General features: G+C 51.2%; 2 long non-coding RNA genes across 2 annotated transcripts in view, besides 1 other annotated feature; both read left to right on the top strand.

Moving 5' to 3' along the window:
- Positions 1-19239, top strand: part of LINC01237 (long intergenic non-protein coding RNA 1237) — a 197360-nt gene that overhangs the window by 86744 nt on the left and 91377 nt on the right. The window lies entirely within an intron of this gene.
- LINC01238 (long intergenic non-protein coding RNA 1238) lies at positions 2577-9170 on the top strand. Its single transcript, NR_110592.1, has 6 exons — positions 2577-3175; positions 3269-3387; positions 3579-3669; positions 4007-4063; positions 4346-4450; positions 7972-9170. It is a non-coding gene; the product is annotated as a long intergenic non-protein coding RNA 1238 (long non-coding RNA).
- Positions 16900-17436: an enhancer, noted in NCBI's record as "H3K4me1 hESC enhancer chr2:242927157-242927693 (GRCh37/hg19 assembly coordinates)". NCBI's record gives its function as "activates a minimal SCP1, AML or CMV promoter by ChIP-STARR-seq in naive H9 embryonic stem cells {active_cell/tissue: H9 hESC(naive)}" and the evidence as "EXISTENCE:reporter gene assay evidence [ECO:0000049][PMID:30033119]".

Below are 19239 nucleotides of genomic sequence, written 5' to 3' on the forward strand. Positions count from 1 at the left end.
TCCCTCCCGCTGGCTTCTGGGCCGCACCTCCAGGAATCCAGCTAGACCCGCAGGGCTCTGACTCCAGACTTTATTAAATGTTTCCTCTAACGGTTCTGGCCATTCTGCTGGGCCATTAAAGGCTACCCCAGGGCCTCAGATATGAGCGTGGTGTCTGTATGTGGTCCTTTCATGGAGGGCAGGAAGCATCATAATTACTTTTTTTTTTAACGGTTTTCAATTTGTGTTGACAAAGAGCCTTAGTGAATCTGTTGGAAGAAGAGTGACTTCAAAATGAACCTGACTCCCTGTATGTTAGGAGTCCATATTCTCTGATACAGTTAACGTTTTCCTTCCAACCTCTTCACTGTTCAAGCAAAGTGGTATTTTAGCTATTCACTGTTTGACACTTTAATAGGAGTTTTGATGAGCAATTTCAGGATGTGGAATTGCTACACTGCACCAGGTTCCTGCAGGAGCAGCAGCCTCAGCCTGTGGATGGGACGTGAGATCTTGGTGTTTCTCCTGGAGGAAACGCTGTGCTGCTGTGTTGATGACGGGGCGTGTGTGGGGTTGATGATGGGTGATGGAGTGTGGGGTTGGTGACAGGTGACGGAGTGTGGGGTTGACGACGGGTGATGGAGTGTGGGGATGATGATGGGTGATGGAGTGTGGGGATGATGACGGGTGATGGAGTGTGGGGATGATGATGGGTGATGGAGTGTGGGGATGATGATGGGTGATGGAGTGTGGGGATGATGACGGGTGATGGAGTGTGGGGATGATGATGGGTGATGGAGTGTGGGGATGGTGATGGAGTGTGGGGATGGTGATGGAGTGTGGGGATGATGATGGGTGATGGAGTGTGGGGATGATGATGGAGTGTGGGGATGATGACGGGTGATGGAGTGTGGGGATGATGATGGGTGATGGAGTGTGGGGATGGTGATGGAGTGTGGGGATGGTGATGGAGTGTGGGGATGATGATGGGTGATGGAGTGTGGGGATGATGATGGAGTGTGGGGATGATGACGGGTGATGGAGTGTGGGGTTGACGACGGGGCGTGGGGTTGATGATGGAGTGTGGGGATGATGATGGGTATGGAGTGTGGGGATGATGATGGGTATGGAGTGTGGGGTTGATGACGGGTGATAGAGGAGTGTGGGGATGTGATGGGTGATGGAGTGTGGGGATGATGATGGAATGTGGGATTGATGACGGATGATGGAGTGTGGGGATGATGATGGGTGATGGAGTGTGGGGATGATGATGGAGTGTGGGGTTGATGATGGGTGATGGAGTGTGGGGTTGATGATGGGTGATGGAGTGTGGGGATGATGTTGGGTGATGAAGTGCGGGGATGATGATGGAGTGTGGTGATGATGACAGGTGACGGAGTCTGGGGTTGATGACGGGGCGTGGGGTTGATGATGGAGTGTGGGGATGATGATGGGTATGGAGTGTGGGGATGATGATGGATATGGAGTGTGGGGTTGATGACGGGTGATACAGTGTGGGGATGTGATGGGTGATGGAGTGTGGGGATGATGATGGGTATGGAGTGTGGGATTGATGACGGGTGATGGAGTGTGGGGATGATGATGGGTAATGAAGTGTGGGGATGATGATGGAGTGTGGTGATGATGACAGGTGACGGAGTGTGGGGTTGATGACGGGGCGTGGGGTTGATGATGGAGTGTGGGGATGATGACGGGTGACCGAGTGTGGGGTTGATGACGGGGCGTGGGGTTGATGATGGGGTGTGGGGATGATGACGGGGCATGGGGTTGATGACGGGGCGTGGGGCTGTTGATGGGGTTTGGGGTTGATGACGGGGTGTGTGGTTGATGACGGGGTATGGGGTTGATGATGGGGCGTAGGGTTGATGATGGGGTGTGGGGTTGATGATGGGGCATGGGGTTGATGACGGGGCCTGGGGTTGATGACGGGGTGTGGGGTTGATGACGTGGTGTGGGGTTGATGACGGAGTATGGGGTTGATGATGGGGTGTGGAGTTGATGACGGGGTGTGGGGTTGATGACGGGGCATGTGTGGGGTCGATGATGGGGTGTGGGGTTGATGATGGGGTGTGGGGTTGATGAAGGGGCGTGGGGTTTATGACGGAGCTTGGGGCTGATGATGGGGTGTGGGGCTGATGATGGGGTGTGGGGCTGATGATGGGGCATGGGGTTTATGATGGGGTGTGGGATTAATGACGGAGTGTGGCGTTGATGATGAGGCGTGGGGTTTATGACAGAGCGTGGGGTCAATGACAGGGTGTGGGGTTGATGACGGGGTGTGGGGTTGATGACGGGGCATGGGGTTTATGACAGCTTGTGTCAGACGAAGCCACATCAACTCATTCTGAGCACCCCTTTCCTCAAAACATAAGGATGAGCATGACCAAAATCTCAAGACATTTTTCCTAAGTCCTTAAGACGGATGAACTTCTACAGGTAAGTAGGTAGATTAATAAACAGAGGTAAGGAATGTTGGCATGAAGAAGCTCCCTAGGCTGCTGTGTGGCTGAAGCTCTGACTGGTCATGCTGGTTAAGGATGCGTCTGAGCAAGATCGGTCGCTGACAGGTAGGTGTGTAGAAAATAACCTATATGTGGTGGTCCATTTTCAGTTCTAAGTGCCTTCATATAGGTTTAAGCAGGCTATGTGGAAATAGAGAAATAAAGAAGCAGAAATGTACTGAGTCACCACCCTGCCCTCCTTCCTGCTTTCCCTTTCACCCAGCGGCCACGTGCCTATCAGTAGGAGCCCCCTCAACTACCCTCTCCTCACCCCACCAAAGAATTTAGTTTAGGCTAGCTTGCAACATAAATAATTATACCCTTTCTTATCAGCTACGTGCAGCCACCAGGGCCATAGTCAAATGTTTGAAGAGTCCTGAGACAGTTGCAATGCATGGTGGGCTGCAATAAAATGCAGCAGAAAGATCCTAAAGAACAGACTTGAAATCTTAATCCAACGACCAATAGGTGATGTCCAGGAAGATCGTAACCCCATTTACTCAGTCAATGAGGAACTGGGGGAGGGACCTGCGCACTAGGGGATAAATTGCTTGTTGAAACTCTGCTGGGGGTGGCTGCATGCCAGCCAGACACCCAGTCTTGCAAGACTGTCATTGAAAATCTCCGTTTTGCTGTTCTCCGGGTCTCTGCGTCCAGTCTTTGTGTTTGGACGGGTGAGTTTGTTTCTCACAGGTGCGACTCTGTCTCTATTTGCATCAGGTTCAGTTTCTTCCTGGTTGACCTTGTGGGTGTGAATGTTGTCACAGACCTGCCGGGCCATCTTTCTGCAAGAAGATAAAGGAAGACCAGGAGTGCCTGCCGAACTCCTATGGAGGAAGTCTAGGAGAGGAAGGGGTAGGACCAAGGGCACTGCTGTGGGCTGAAGGTTTGCGTCCCCCCAAATCCTTACGTTGAAATCCTAAACCCCAGTGGGATGGTGTTTGGAGATGGGACCTTTGGGACGTGATTAGGTCATGGGGTGGAGCCCCATGAGGGGATTAGTGCCCTTGTAAGAAGAAACACCAGAACCAGCCTCTTCTCTCTCTACTCACCACCCTTCCTCTCTGCTAAGGACAGGGAGGAAGATGGTGTCTGCAAACCAGGAAGCAGCCTTGCCAGACACAGGATTGGCCACAACCTTGACCCCAGACTTCCAGCCTCCAGAACTGTGAGAAATAAATGTCCATATTGACTAGGGGCACAGGGCATGGGGGAACTGGTTCCAGACCTGCCTCCTGGGAAGTTGGGAGGGGGCATTTCAACCTGTTAATTTCTCAAATTATGTAGTCATTCAAAAAGAAATAGAAACACTTCATTAACTTTGTGATTGCCAAATTATTGATCAATTCTCATAGAAAGTTATAACATTTCCCCTTTTGGTACATTTCTGTTAAAAAGAAGGTTGTCTTTCCAGCCTTATGTTTTGTAGTTTAATTTGCTCACATTCATTATAATCCATTATTTAATACATTTTTCTTCCATTTGATCATATTACTTGCTGATAGGAAGGACTGAGTTCATTTTCAGCGTGTCTGGCTTTTCCATTTCTGTGGCCTGGGAAGGTGGGTGGCTACATCATCATCCATGGTCTCTGAAATATCCTGTGTTACCAAGGCCTGCTTGTTCCACCAAACTGCTCCATAGGCAGTTGTGACACCCAGAAAGATGCTGATATGGTTTGGCTGTGTCCCCACCCAAATCTCATCTTGAATTGTAGTTCCCATAATCCCCAGGTGTCTGGGAGGGGCCCAGTGGGAGGTAATTGAGACATGGGGGCGGGTTTTCCCATGCTGTTCTTGTGATAGTGAATAAGTCCCAAGAGATTCTGATGGTTTTATAAACAGGAATTTCCCTGCACAGGCTCTCTTGCCTGCCACCATGTAAGACCTGCCTCTGCTCCTCCTTCACCTTCCGCCATGATTGTGAGGCCACCCCAGCCATGTGGAACTGTGAGTCCATTAAACCTCTTTTTCTTTATAAATTACTCAGTCTCAGGTATTTCTTCATAGCATTATGAAAATGGACTAATACAGATGCAGCTAGCATGAGGGAACTGTCCTTGCCAACTTGGAGTTGTTCTCAGAAACTGCAGTAACTCAATACTGGGAACAGAAATGCACTACCCTGAGGTCAGGGATTTTAGGATACAGTCCCGAAGCTTCTGTTGCCTTCAATGCCTTCACTGACATGGGATTTAGGGATTCAGAGTCCTGAAGCTTCTGTTGCCCGGGTAAGCCCTCAGTGCCTTCACTGACGTGCACAGAGCTGCTCTTTCTGTGAATGGATGCTATCCCAACCAGGAGGCCTGGAAACTGCGGCTTTGCGATTTTGAATTTATGGAAGGAGTCCTTGGTGACCCTCACAATCTGGAGGCCGAGAGTCCAAGGTCAAGCAGCTGGTTCCTCTGGAGGCTCCATGGAAGAAGCCCTTCCATGCTGGTTTTCTTCCTCTGGTGTTCCTGGCAACCCTTGGTGTTCCTTGCCTGGTGAATGAATCACCCACCTTTGCCTCCATCTGTCCATGGTGTTATCCCTGTGTCTCTGCCCAAATCTCTCTCTCCTTATGAGGACACCGAATGGATGAGCTCATTTCAACTTGATCACATGTGCAAAGACCCTATTTCCAAATGAGGTCACATTTTCAGGTGTGAGGGTTAGAACTTCAACTATCTTTTTGGGGGACACAGCACCATCCACAGCCGTGAGGACATTGGACAAAGCCCAACTTGGACCTGACTCGGGTCAGGGGGGAGGGGCACAGGGAGATTTGCCTTTTTCCTGTTTTGCCATTTTCCACGTAACTCGTATTTGCTACTTTAGAGGAACCATTTATGGAAAACTACAGGATAAAGGATAAACAAATGGTGGAGGAAAGGAAATCTGTTAGCAATCAGAGAGATTGTTAATTTCCTTGATGAGGAGCCAATTGGTTGAAGGGTGCCTGTAATTTACAACTTCAGTCTTGGGAAAAATGTGCACAGTTATTTTTTGGTCTCCATGAAGGAAACGTTTAGACGGGCACTCATGGGGCTGATTACCGATTCAGAGGAACATGCAGGGGGCATCCACCCTCCAGGCGTGGGAAGAGAGAAGCACATGCTTCCGGGAGGCCAAGGCTGAGCCGGGCTTAGGAGTGTCCTCTCCAGGTACTAAGTTAATTTTATGGGAGCTGAAGCCTCGCTGCTTCTCGGAGCCTGGGGAGTTGGGAGCACTGGCCCTGGGCTCTGTGTGGCCTGGAACTGCGACTGCAGCTTGGAATTCTTGGGCTCAGCTATGGCGGCCTGTGCCCTTCTCCAGGCATGGTTTGGGCCGTGTCCCTGGAACAGCAGCTGAGGTCCTGGTGCCAGCCCCATCACAGACGGCAGGGGACCTGAGATAGACATGGCCCCCTCTGCCCAGGCCCCCTTGCTGGAAAGGCAGAGGCACATCTTACCTCCGGGGACCCCACTCTCACCTCGGAGGATGTTTTAGGCCATGCTGTGTGTTGCCATCTTTGGGAAGAACTAGTTTAACGAAGGAGTCATGAATTTGGCGAGGGGCCGCCTCTGCTGACGGTGTTTCCTGAGTCCCTGCCCTTCACTGGGGCACGAGGGCACATGTGCCTCCGTTGCGCACCTGGGTGGGTGGGGCTGGCCGTGACCAGCGGTTCCAGGTGACGCTGCCCTGGGAGAGCTCCTTGGCAGGGCTCTGGGGTGAGCTGGGCAGGGACCCGGGAGGTCAGAGGCCCCTGGGTCTTGGCCAAGCAGCTGGAGAGCTGGTGCTGGGAGTGTGTGCTGAGGGGTAGCACGGGCCGAAGGGCTCCTTCCCACTGGCTCTGTTGGCTCAGCCTCGAATTGTCTGCAGGGACGCCTGCTGGCCACACATCACCATGAGGATGCACTTGACTGAATCTGGAAGAATCCCAGGGCTGTGGAAGATTTTGGAAGATAAAATGCCCCCAAGGAAGCATTAATTAATAAATGAATAAATATGCCCAGGCTTAAACGAATTTCCTGCAACAGCTATTCACTGGGCAGGCCCTGGTAGGGTCCTTGCCTTCCCCACACCTGTTTGAAGTGTAGGTCCTTCTCAGAATAGGCAGAAGGAGCAGGTGGCACTGATGAGATGGAGCAGTCGTCACCCACATTCCCACACCTTACCAGGATGAGGATCTCCAAACTGGGGCAGAGCTGGGCTCCATGAGTGAGCATTGCGTTGAGAAACCACCCTGTGTAAGTACAAAGAGGCTTGTCCCACAGCTCCTGGTCACCAAAAGCTGTCAGCAACTCTCACTGGACCTTGGGTCTTGGGCACGTCCCTCCAGCCTCAGTGCCCCGGGAAGGAATTCACAGAGAGCGGCTTCAACCTCCCAGGGCCATGTAGAGGCCAAACCAGAGCGACTGTGGGTAGAGCGCCTTGCCCAACCTCGGCCCGGCTACAAGGGCATCGCAGGCCAGACCCTTCACTTGGCTCTCCCCATGTGCCCACGTCCTCCGGGAGCTCCGGCTGTCACAGCTGAAGGTAGAAATCTTCTTACGGTCCCCCACACTGTGTCTGCACAAAGTGAGACGCTGACTTCCCAACTCACCCACCTGCTGCGCTGGGTCAAGCTGATAAGAGCAGCCCCTGAAGCCACAGAAAAATCCTAGGCATGCCAGGAAAGTGCGAAGCCCCCGGGGGCCCTGGGATGTGAGCTCTGCGCGTGGAGGTGTGTTGGCTTGGGGTGATCTTTCCAATGGACTTCAGAGCCTCCAGGAGACCAGAGAACAGAGCTCTGGGACGGGGGGCACAGGCGCGATGTGGGGTCAGCTTGTCTCCCCGAGGAGACTCCACAGTCCAGAGCTCTGGCACAGGGGGGCACAGGCGCGGTGTGGGGTCAGCTTGTCTCCCCGAGGAGACTCCACAGTCCAGAGCTCTGGACAGGTGGGCACAGGCACAGTGTGGGGTCACTTGCCCCCCTCACCCTGGGAGACTTCACAGTCCAGGCAGAACTCACCGGAAGGAAACAAACTCAGGTCTGCCAGGGCACATTTTGCACTTGCCATGAGTGTGGTGGTTCTGTTAACATTCCCAGTAAATCCACTGTCCCATCAGGACACAGGAAGGGAGGTTCCTGGGGCAGGGGCCTTGCCAGGGGCATGTGACTTCTGGTGGAGCTCTGGGCCCCGCAGGTCTGGACATGGCTGTATTCTTCATTAGTGCCATCTCTGGGCCATGTTTCTTTAAAGACGTGACGAAGAGTCTCTTTATTTTTATTAATTGAATCATTAATTAGTTTTTGCATAGGGAAGTTGCCAGGTTTTAGTTCTTTTAGAGAATTCTCAGCTTCCCAAATAGGTATTAATGATCAAAGCTCATTTTCAGTCATTGGAGGGGGGGCAAAAGGAGATGTAATTGCTAATTATTTGGAATCATCTGAACTGCAATCACTCGAATGGCAGACGATTTACGCAACAGCCTGGAACCCTGAAGCTTGTTTGGAATTCTTCCAGGTCAAGAGGCTGGGAGGTGCCCTCTGCCTTTCAAGATCAGAGAGTAGCTGATCCCCCTCCTGCCGTCATTTATGGACTGAATAACCACAGAGAGTGTGAGGCCGGCGGAAACTTGGCAGTGCCTGTTTGTCATTGTCAGTTTCAAATACTTTTTAATTTTGAATAGTTGTAGATTTTCAGAAGGGTTATGAAGATTGTGCAGGCAGTTTCTGCAAGCTGCTGCTAATTTCCCTCAGCTTCCACGTCTTCGCTGCCATGGTCCACCTGCAGCAGCCAAGAAAGCCGCGTTGCATCGCCACGAGCTAAACTCCAGCCTTCGGATTTCAGAGCTTCCATCCATGTCCTCTCTCTGCTGTGACCCCACCTGGGGTGCCACGTCGTGTCTGATCCTCCTGTGTCCTCGGCTTCTCTGGTCTGTGACATTTCTGTCTCTCCTTTGCCATGACCCTGGCAGTGTGGAGGAGACTGTTGGGCACCCTGTGGATGCCCCTCAGTCTGGGTTCATCTGTCCTTTTCCTCATGGTTAGCCTGAGGTGGTGGGCTTCCGCAAATAATACCAAGGAGGTGAAATGTTCTTCCCCTCACGGCCTCTCAGGGGCATAGAACATCCTCTTGACTTCACAGGTGGCGTTAACCCGATCGCTTGTGTGAAAATAACGCATCGGGAGGCACTAGGCTGAGGGCTTCAGTACCTCAGAAGCAAACCCAGTTCCTGCACACAGAAACCCCATTCAGGGTAAGGGGTCCTGTCCTAGGAAAGAAAATTCAAGTTTAAACAGAAACTGCCAGCTAACCTCAAAGCAGAGGCCGTGTGACTGCTGTTTCACTTCAATCCATCCTTTTTCTGTTCTTCCTTCCAAGAACACTGATGAAGGTTTTCCTTGTGCTCCTTGGTAGAGCCCAAACTGCTGTAGTTCAGTGCTGCCCAGCTCATGGATTCCTGTCTCCTCAAATAACTCTTTACACTTTCACGTGCCTACGTTTATCTTCTAACACTTGGATCAGGTGGCGTCCGCCAGGTGTCTTCGCTGTAAAGTCACTGTCTTCCCTTCCACCGCTCCACTCTTTGGGATGAGTCACGAAGCCTGTGCTACCTTCAGGGGAGGGCTGGGGAAGAGTTAAACTCCATCTCCTGGAGGGGCTGCTACATATGATCATATGATGTTATTTGGAGTAAGAAAGATTTGCCTCTTCTCCACATTTACTTGTTTATTCAATTATTTATACCAGTATGGGCTCATGATATTTACTGTATATTTTTTATTATAATTCAATCATCCAATATATTATTTCTTTTGTTGTTCAAATTTTTCCATCTTTGGCCATTGGCAGCCCTTTCACGTTGGCATCTGTGTCCATTGGACAATCCCCCATCCTTTTGTTTTTTTGAAAATTTCCTTACTTTTTGATATCATGAGATACTCCAGGCTCATCTTGTCTTCTCTCTGATCCACCCTAGAATCAGCCGTGGTTCCCCTCATTGGAGAATGATATTTAGAAACAGAAACCTGGGTGCTGGGTGTGCTCAGTGGGACGAGGGTGTCACTGCCTCCAGCCCTGTCAGTGAAGAGAGCTGCGTAATGTGCGTGCAGATAATACCCTATGTGTGAACACATACTTCAGATTATCTCTGGATCTGTCCATCCTTATATCGATGCAAAGCTAAACATGAGTTCACACTGATGTCTCTGATTCTCATCTAGTACCACAGGGTTCAGTCTAAACTTCCTCTTATTTACAAATAACCTTCCCCTCCAACACAAGAAGCCTGCCTCCCATGGTTTGCCATCCGTTGACTTATCTGTTCAATCCCAGTGTATGTGAATTGTTAACTTGTACCCCTGTGGGAAATTTACCAACAAAGGAATGATATTAATGTCCTTTTGTCTTTAGCTTTACAATTTCCACTCAAAACATCATATTCTGAAGTTACTCAGGTCAGCTTCCTGTTTCTTTAAGTTCGCCCTCATTACTGTCCGCGCTTTGTGATGTGCAGTCATGTGTTACCACCCCAGTGCCAGAAAGAAGAGCTCCTCGTGTGTCCGCCGATGGCCAAGCACTCCTCTCCCCAGCCCCTGGCAACTGCTAGTCCAAGCTTGTCCAACCCACAGCCCGTGGGCTGCATGCGGCCCAGGATGGCTTTGAATGTGGCCCAACACAAATTCGTAAACTTTCTTAACACCTTATGAGATTTATACATGGACTTTTTTTGCTCAAGAGCTATTGTTAGTGTTAGTATATTTTATGTGTGGCCCAAGGCACAATTCTTCTTCCAGTGTGGCCCAGGGAAGCCAAAAGATTGGACACCCCGGCCCTAGTCTGTTCATTCCTATAGTTTTAATTTTTCCAAAGTATCATATGAATGGAATCATGTGATATGTAGCCCATGAATCATGTATATGGGTTTTTCACTTAGTAGAGCACATTTAAGATTCATCATTGTTGCTATGTGAATCAATAGCTGGTTCCTTTTATCTCTCCGCAGCTCCTACTGCACTGAGAAGCACGTGTTCTCCATTTCCCTGGGGGAGACCATTGTATTGGGCAGTTTGGAACAAAACACCATGGACTGGGAGGCTTACACAACAGAAATTTATTTCTTGCTGTTCTAGAGGCTGGGAAGCTCAAGGTGCTGGCTGCATATTCATTCTGAGGCCTCTTCTGATGTGCAGGCAGCTGCCTTCTGACTTGTGCTCACATTGGAGAGAGGGAGTCAGCTTTGGTGTCTCTTCTTGTAAGGACACTAACCCCATTCACTAGGGCCCCACCCTCATGACCTAATCACCCCCAAAGGTCCTGTCTCCAGACATATCACATGGGGCAGAGCTTCAATGTACCAATTCTGGGGGGTCACAAACCCTCCGTCCATAGCAGACATCTTGGTTGCTCCCAGTTTTTAGAGATTAAGAATAAAACAACTGTAAATATTTACATGCAGGTTTTTGTGTGAACAAGTTTTCATGCCAGCTGGGTAAATAGCTAGGGCTGTGATGGCCAGATCCTGTGGTAAGATTCTGTTCCACATTCTAAGAAACTGCCCAACTGTCTTCCACAGTGGCTGTGCCATTTTGCAGTTCTGACAGCAATTCTGTAGCTCCACAACCTCATCAGCACTGGGTGGTGGTGCTTGAATTTTGCATTTTAGCCATTCTAATTGGTGTGGGTAGTAGTTCTCATTTGGGGTTCAATTTGCTTTTTCCTTTTTTTTTTTTTTTTTTTGGCAGGCTGGACATCTCCTAGAGGGCAATAGATTCTGGTTTTGTTTTTTTTTTTAGACAGAGTCTCATGCTGTCACCCAGGCTGGAGTACAATGGCATGATCTCTGCTCACTGCAACTTCTGCCTCCCAGGCTCAAGCAATTCTCCTGCCTCAGCCTCCCAAATAGCTGGGGTTACAGATGCTCGCCACCATGCCTGGCTAATTTTTGTATTTTTAGTAGGGATGGAGTTTCACCATGCCAGCCAGGCTGGTTTTGAGCTCCTGAACTCAAATGATCCACCCGCCTTAGCCTCCCAAAGTGCTGGGATTACAGGCGTGAGCCACCGCACCTGGCTGAGGGCAATCGATTCTGAATAAATAGGTTGTGAATTGGAGATTTGCATTAACCCTGCCCAGGGCCGGGCTGTGTTTGCTGTAGCTGTGTGTGTGTATAACTTCAGATCCCTCTGTGACCTCCTTTTGTCTCCCTTTGTGGTTTTGGGCTTTCCTTTGCTGTTCCTCGGACAGCCTGTGTCTCTCAGGTCTCTTAGCTGTAATCCAGTTATCCCAGAGCTTGTCAGTTAGAGGGGAGGGAAGGGTTGGGGAGGGGCAGTTCCCTGGTCTCTGTCTTTGGACTTCATGGGGCCTGTGCCCCCATCCTGCCATGGCCTTCACAAGGGTTTCTGTCCTCGCTCCAGAGTGAGGTGCCACCCATCCCCCATCCCCCACCCATCCCCTCCCCATCCCCCACCCCTCCCCTCCCCACCCCATCCCCCATCCCCCATCCCTTCCTCATCCCCTCCCCATCCCCCCATCCCCCACCCATCCCCTCCCCATCCCCCACTCCCAGCCTCGGCAGGGATGCCTCTGTTCCTTGTCTGTGTCCTGGAGTCCAGCATGAAGACCTTTGCTTGTGAATACCCTTCCCTGGGACCAGGACCCTTGGGGAAATGCTTGATCCCACATCTGGAGTAGGAGAAGCACAGGTTGACCTTGGGAGCTGTTGCCCTGTATTGCAGCTGCTGTGTGCATGGGGCATGTAGGCCATGCATGGGTGTGGTGCTTCCATCCAGCTCAAAGTGCGTTGTCTGCTCTTAAGTGTTCTTGGCAACACGTGATCCCCAGTTCAAGGCTGGTGTGTATTAAGTTCTCATTTCTTTGGAGAGACAAAAAAGATGGAAAGCGGCATTGCTTGCTGAGCCCAGGGAATACAAAGGAAAGGCAGGCCGAGGGGGAAACCAGTGTCAACAGTGGAGGTGGCTCTCTGATAACCTCGTGGAGCTGGAGTTTGGAGTGCAAGTACTCAGACGTCCAGAAACCCTCTTTCTCTGTAACTCAGCTATCCATGGACGAAACCAAAGGAATGGCCTACATTTGCAACCCACTCTTGATTTCTCCCTTTTGCAATGCCAGGGAGCTGTGTTGGTCAGCGAAATATCGCATCCTGGGTGGCTTAAACAACAGAAGTGTATTTTCTCAGCACTCTGAAGGGAAGAAGACTGAGATCCGGGTCTCGGCAGGGCTGGGCTCTGTGGAGGCCACTCTCCGTGGCTTGCAGATGGAGCTTCTTTGCTGTGTCCTCACAGCATCGTCCCTCTGTGGGTGTCTGTGTCCTCATCTCCTCTTATATAGGACACCAGGCAGGTTGGATTAGAGCCCACACTGGTCACCTCATTTTAACTTTATCACCCTTTTTAAAAGGTCCTATGTCCCAAAACAGTCACATTCTTTGGGGCTTGGGGTTAGAGCTTCAACACATGAATTCGGGAGGAGCACGACTCTGCCTGTAACACCAGCAATGGATTCGGGCCTGTGGACTTCAGCAGCGCTGCCCTTTGTGTGGAAGTGACGGAGTCAGCCTGCCCCATAGGTTCCTGGGTGTGAGCTTCGGCCGCACACAAAAGGTCTATTTGGCGACTCTGGCCACGCTCTTAGGACAAAGGACATGGATTGACAAGTGGCGGGCACGGACGGAGGTGCAGATGATGTCCACGGACACGACAAGTCCATGAGGCCTGGGAGGGCCCCGGCCACCCTGGCCTCACGTTCCCTGAGTCTCTCCTGTAAGCCCAGCTTCCCACCCTTCAGGGTGTAGATGCCCATGTTAAAATCCAGATTCCAGCCCGGGAGGCCTGAGGTGGGCCTGAGACTCTGCATTTCCAGCAAACACCCAAGTGACGTGCCAGCATCCCTGTTCTCATGCCATCTCTGTGTGCGAAACCCTAACTCACTCGTGGCCGGTGCTCCTACCTCCTTGTCACTCTGCAGAGAATGCAGTGACGTCAAGTTCAATTGAAGGCTCGTGGCCAACATGCTCACGTGGACACCCACAAAGGGGCCACCCAGACTGTGGTATTTTATTGAGGAGCGACTAATATAGCTCCCTGGCGTTATAAATGGGAGAAATCAAGAGTGAGTTGCAAATACAGGCCATTCTTTTGGTTTTGTCCACAGATAGCTGAGTTACAGAGTAACTGTGTAGTCTGTGTGGTGCAGGGGGTGGCAGAGGGGAAGGGGCAGGTGAGGCTTGGCATGAGGGGCTTCTCATTGCAGGCGTCCGAGGGAGTTCAGTGGAGGAGTAAGACCCAGGGAGAGCCCAGCTGGGCTGAGGCTTGTTTTCTGCACATGGGTTGCTCCACCGTGAATAGTTAATGAACTAAGTGTCATTTTCACTAAATCTTTCCTTTGCACCAAACTCACTACCATTCTTCATGGAGTCTTTCTGGGGCTTCTGTTTGCAATGACTCATCTGGGGAGAGGACGGAAGGACAGTCAGTGTCCAGCTTGGTTGGTAGATGGGTAGGTCAGATGGAGATGAGAAAGACCTTTTCCCCTCATCACTCTCACGCAGTTAATCCAGAGCCCCTTAGAGAGGTTTACAACTGGAGCTGCTATTTAAAGGCCTAGATGAGAATGTAATAGTAATAATGATCCTCATTTTTATTCTCAGCTGACAGAGCAAGGGAATGTGTGTGAATGCTAATCCATGCACATACATGTCTATAAATATTCTGCATGGAACCATCTGTGTCTATGTCAAGCTAAACTGGGGTTCATACCAGGGTCTCCAACCATAGCCCATCCCCACTGGGGTCCTTCCAGCTCACTCGGCTTCTGGATGTACGACTCCCACAGGTGGAGGAAGGCCCCCAGAGAAGTCTGCTGAAAATTGTTATTCATGAATGGAGGTTGGACTTCTTCAGATACACTTCCCGAGTCTGTTAACATGGTGATGTGACGTTTGCCCTTCATGTTACTCATAGGGACTATTCTGTTAGCTACCAATTCTGCTGCTTTAAATAAAAACACCATTAAAAAACAAAAAGAAACAAATTGTAATAAAATATTTGCATACATATAAAATCTGAAAGACATATATCAAAATATAAAGGTCCTTCCTTTACAAATCAATAAATATACCTTTTTAAAAAAACAGACAAGACAGACATTAGACAAAAGGTGATACAAGAATGACCAATAAGCAAATTGAAAGCACTCAGTATCCTCGGCCATCAGGAAATGCACATTCATCATAATGGGATGCTGTGTGACGCACGTTGAAATAACTGGATGTGAAGATCCTGGCCCCACCCTGTGCCGGGAGGGTCTGGAACATCTGGAATATTCACGTCGCCGGCGGGGAGGAGGTGCACAGGCACAGGCACTTTGACCATAGCATGGCAGGTCCCCCACAACTATATGTACACCTGCCCTGTGCCCAGCAAAATGTAAATGTCTTCCACAAATAGTCCTGGACAGGGTCTCTCAAAGGGGCTTTAACTGTAACAGCCCACACCTGGAATTGTCCACAGTCCTGGGCGGGGTCACTCATAGTAACAGCCCACACCTGGAATTGTCCACAGTCCTGGGCGGGGTCGCTCACAGTAACAGCCCACACCTGGAATTGTCCACAGTCCTGGGCGGGGTCACTCACAGTAACAGGCCACACCTGGAATTGTCCAGCATTCCTCAACAGGAAACAGTTAAAGAAAGTGTGTCTAACCACACATGGAAGGCCACTGGGCAATGAAAATGCATGAACTTCTGGCGTCCACAATCTAGTGGATGAATCTCAAAAGATACTTCGAGCAAAAACACCGGACAGAAGCGTCCGTGCCAGCCCCGCAGGCTGCCTGTGTGCCAGGCTATCCCGTGCCATCTGATCCGGGAGAAGCAGGACTTTCTTGCACAGGTACTCAGCGCTGTGGCTGTGGGAGGAGCCGGGAGGGCCCTGGCGTGGGTGGGCTTGGGGAAACTGTAGGAGCTGGAAATATTTCATATCTTATTTGGGGTGTTGTTTACAGGGGAACTTGACAAACTCATCTAATGGTACAATCGAGACATCTGTGTAAATAAAGTGTCAAAAATCATCCTGCTGACATCCATGCTCCCCGCCCCACGGCACTTCCCGGCCCTCAGCCCTCCCGTGCGGCTCCTGCCCCCTGGCCAGGGCATCTCCCAGACCAGCGCTAGGCAGCAGGCACTGTCCTAACCCCAGAGCCTGTGGGCCTGGGGCATCAGTGAGGAGGAGGCTGAGGACTGATGGTTTGCAGGTTGCTCCGGGAGACCAGAAACCTGGTGAGGAGAGGCATTAGGAGGTGAGGTAGGAGGCGTTACGAAGGCCCCCGAAAGCTGCCTGTTTGTTTGGTTTTAGTGGGGAGATAGTTTTCCAGTACAGAATTTCTACCAGAGTGCCCCATACATAAAACATAACAATGACATGAGATGCTTTGGGGCAGCCTTGGGGTGGATGGGACCTGTGTCCCCCTCTGCAGTCCTCACAGGCGCCCCACGTGTGGGTCTCACGCTGAGATGCACCGAGCCAGCTGGAAAATGCCGGGTCAGGGGGCTGCTCAGGGGCGGCTTCTCTTTAGGTAAAGTCAGTGAATCCCGATGGCCAAGTGCGAGGCATCGGGGAGATCGCAGAAAGGGTCGAGGGACTCAGGCCCAAGCCTGGGGTGACAAAATCTTATAAGTGGAATCATAGAGTATGTAAGATGGCGTGTGTGTGTGTGTGTGTGTGAGAGAGAGAGAGACAGAGAGGAGAGAGGGGGTCTTGGTAACCTTTAGGTCACATTTGGCAGTTTAAACATAAACCTGCTTCCAAATTAACTGGCTTTGGAGACGTCTGTGACTCGTGGGCACACCCTGCCCCTGAGTGGAGAATCTCACCATCAGCTTCTCCGGCTGTTGACGCACTGATCGGCACCCACTGACACTGAAAGGATGCCGATTTGTTTCTGAACCGTGAAATGTTGATCTGATTCTGTGTCATGACATTCTGCTGACTTGCTTCTGAATCACGAAGCTTTGCTGGTTTGTTTCGGAATCATGAAGCTTTCTGATTGCCTTGCATGGAGACGTTTTAGCCCTCACGGTATGATCTGTGTGCACTGGCTGTGCCCTCCAACCTGTCCCCCCATGAGAAGGATGCCTCTGTTGTGAGGAGTCCCCTCCCTTCTCCTAAACTTTTCCAGAAAGTCTTCCACCTAGTAGCCGACCCCAGAACATGCTCAGTTCTGTGGGCGTCTTCCCAAGTGGATCCCCATGTTCAGCTTCCAATAAAACTTTATCCAGTCACTTCTGCCTGCACAGCCTTAGTTTCCATCAGAAGTCTACACGTGTGTATGTGTATAGACACACACACACACACGTGCACACGTGCACACACATGCACGTTTTGTGTCTGGCTATTTTCACTTACAATTTTTTTTTTTGTCAGCCTAACAGGTGAATCTGATTTTGATTCTTTAGATGCTGCCTAAGGAAGTTGAAGAAAAAAATTCCTTTTTTTGTAGTAGCTGGATCTGTATCCAAAATTTAACGTATTGTAGCTCTCCTGCTGTGCCAGGCTCAGTTTGTTTTAAAGATTTCCCAGAGGGGACGACTCAGAAAGAGGCTCTGAGGGTGTGGCATCCTCTGCACACTTTGGGTGCCACCAGCTGACGTGTGACTGTGACTTCACGGGTGGTGCCCCGGCCTCATATGCTTCGTGGTTCTCTGTCTCACTCCTGCTCACGGGCGATGCCCTGGCCTCACGTGCCTCGTGGTTCTCTGTCTCACTCCTGCTCACGGGCGGTGCCCCGGCCTCACGTGCCCCGTGGTTCTCTGTCTCTCTCCTGCTCACAGGAAGTGCCCCGGCCTCACGTGCCCCGTGGTTCTCTGTCTCGCTCCTGCTCATGGGCAGTGCCCCGGCCTCACGTGCCCCGTGGTTCTCTGTCTCTCTCCTGCTCACAGGAAGTGCCCCGGCCTCACGTGCCCCGTGGTTCTCTGTCTCTCTCCTGCTCATGGGCAGTGCCCCGGCCTCACGTGCCCCGTGGTTCTCTGTCTCTCTCCTGCTCACAGGCGGTGCCCTGGCCTCACGTGCCCCGTGGTGCTCTGTCTCGCTCCTGCTCATGGGCAGTGCCCCGGCCTCACGTGCCCCGTGGTTCTCTGTCTCTCTCCTGCTCACGGGCGATGCCCTGGCCTCACGTGCCCCGTGGTTCTCTGTCTCTCTGCTGCTCATGGGCAGTGCCCCGGCCTCACGTGCCCCGTGGTTCTCTGTCTCTCTCCTGCTCACAGGCGGTGCCCTGGCCTCACGTGGCCCGTGGTGCTCTGTCTCGCTCCTGCTCACCTGCCGGGCTTTCGTCTCTGCCCAGGGATGAAACCATCATGTGGCTTAATTGATATTTTGTGAAAGCTGCAAATTATGTGTGCAGTCCTGTCAATAATTCCTATTGGCTGACTTTCTCTCTTCTCCAATATTCTACAACCATATGTACAGTCAAAGCTGTCCACCTTTTACATTCATGATTGATGCTCCATAAATATGCTGGCTAGATAAAGCCGCAGCTGTTAGGCAAAGGAAAGAAAGACACATTTATCTGAGACCCAAGGCAGCTGTCAAGCAGTGGGAATGGCCCTGAAGGCCATAAAGAACCCAGAATGACTGACCGGGATCCGGGTGGACAGGAGCGGGGGGGTGGACTCTGACCCCACCCACCCCCACACCTCCTATCCTTGCACTGTTCCGGGGATGAAGTGGATTTTGGGAGCTGGGCATGGGGCACAAACTCTCTCTAACAGCTGTGGTGGAACCAGGGCTCACTGCAAACCCCCTTTCCTGTTGGGACGCCTCATGGGCTGGACCCCATGAGGGCTCTTCAGAAAGGTGAGAACACGCAGTAAGACCTTTCTCCAAAGTTACCAAAGATGACAGCAACCCACGGTTAGCACAATTTTATAAAGACTGAAAACTTGCTGAGCCTGTGTAGTTAATAAGTGGAGACACAAGGCAAAATCCAATGATAAGCAAGTGAAGATCCATCGTTATGCGATGAACAGTATTTCCATGAAGTTCTGCTTAGTGAGAATAGAGATCACATGCTCCCTTCCATTTTTCAAACATTATTTCTTGTTCTTGCGGTCTGGAAGAAAATGACTGAAAGATTACTTTGTTTCTCTTTGATTCACTTTAAAAGATGTGGGAAAGGGAACGCGAGCTGCCCAGCTGCCCGGGAGACCAGGTTACCTTCCTTTACCCCGGAAGGCAGCCTGCCCTGCTACAGCATTGCCTCATGCTCCGATCACCACACACATCAATGGCAGGAGGAGAGGGTCAGGATAACTCGGGACGGACTCCTCCCAGGAGCTCCCTGGGCGAAGGCGGTCCCATCGGGGAAGCGGGATTCCCTCCTCCAGTAGGGAAGAAGCACCCTCAGCAAGGAGACTGCCGAGGCGTGGGGACGCTCTGCTCTGCGTTTGTGGAAACCAGGCACTCGCCTGGCACAGGGTCTCGCACCCCGGTCTCGGTGCAGCCTTGTGTGGTTCTGGTGCTTGGGAGGGCGTGTTCCCCACGTGCCTACTGAGGAGCCGCTCCCTGGCTCAGGGCTCCTCCTCCACCCAACACCAGCATCTCCACATGGTCAGGTGCGGTTTTAAAAGCCGCGTTCTCAAGATATTCTTCACGTATCATGACATGTGCACAGGCAGAGTGCCAATCAAGTCCTTTCAGAGTACTCGGAGATCCAGTCACTGCGTTGGGTGTACTCGGAGATCCAGTTGCTGTGTTGGGTGTACTCGGAGATCCGG

This window comes from Homo sapiens, chromosome 2 (assembly GCF_000001405.40).
Source record: "Homo sapiens chromosome 2, GRCh38.p14 Primary Assembly".
NCBI classification, from domain to species: domain Eukaryota; kingdom Metazoa; phylum Chordata; class Mammalia; order Primates; family Hominidae; genus Homo; species Homo sapiens.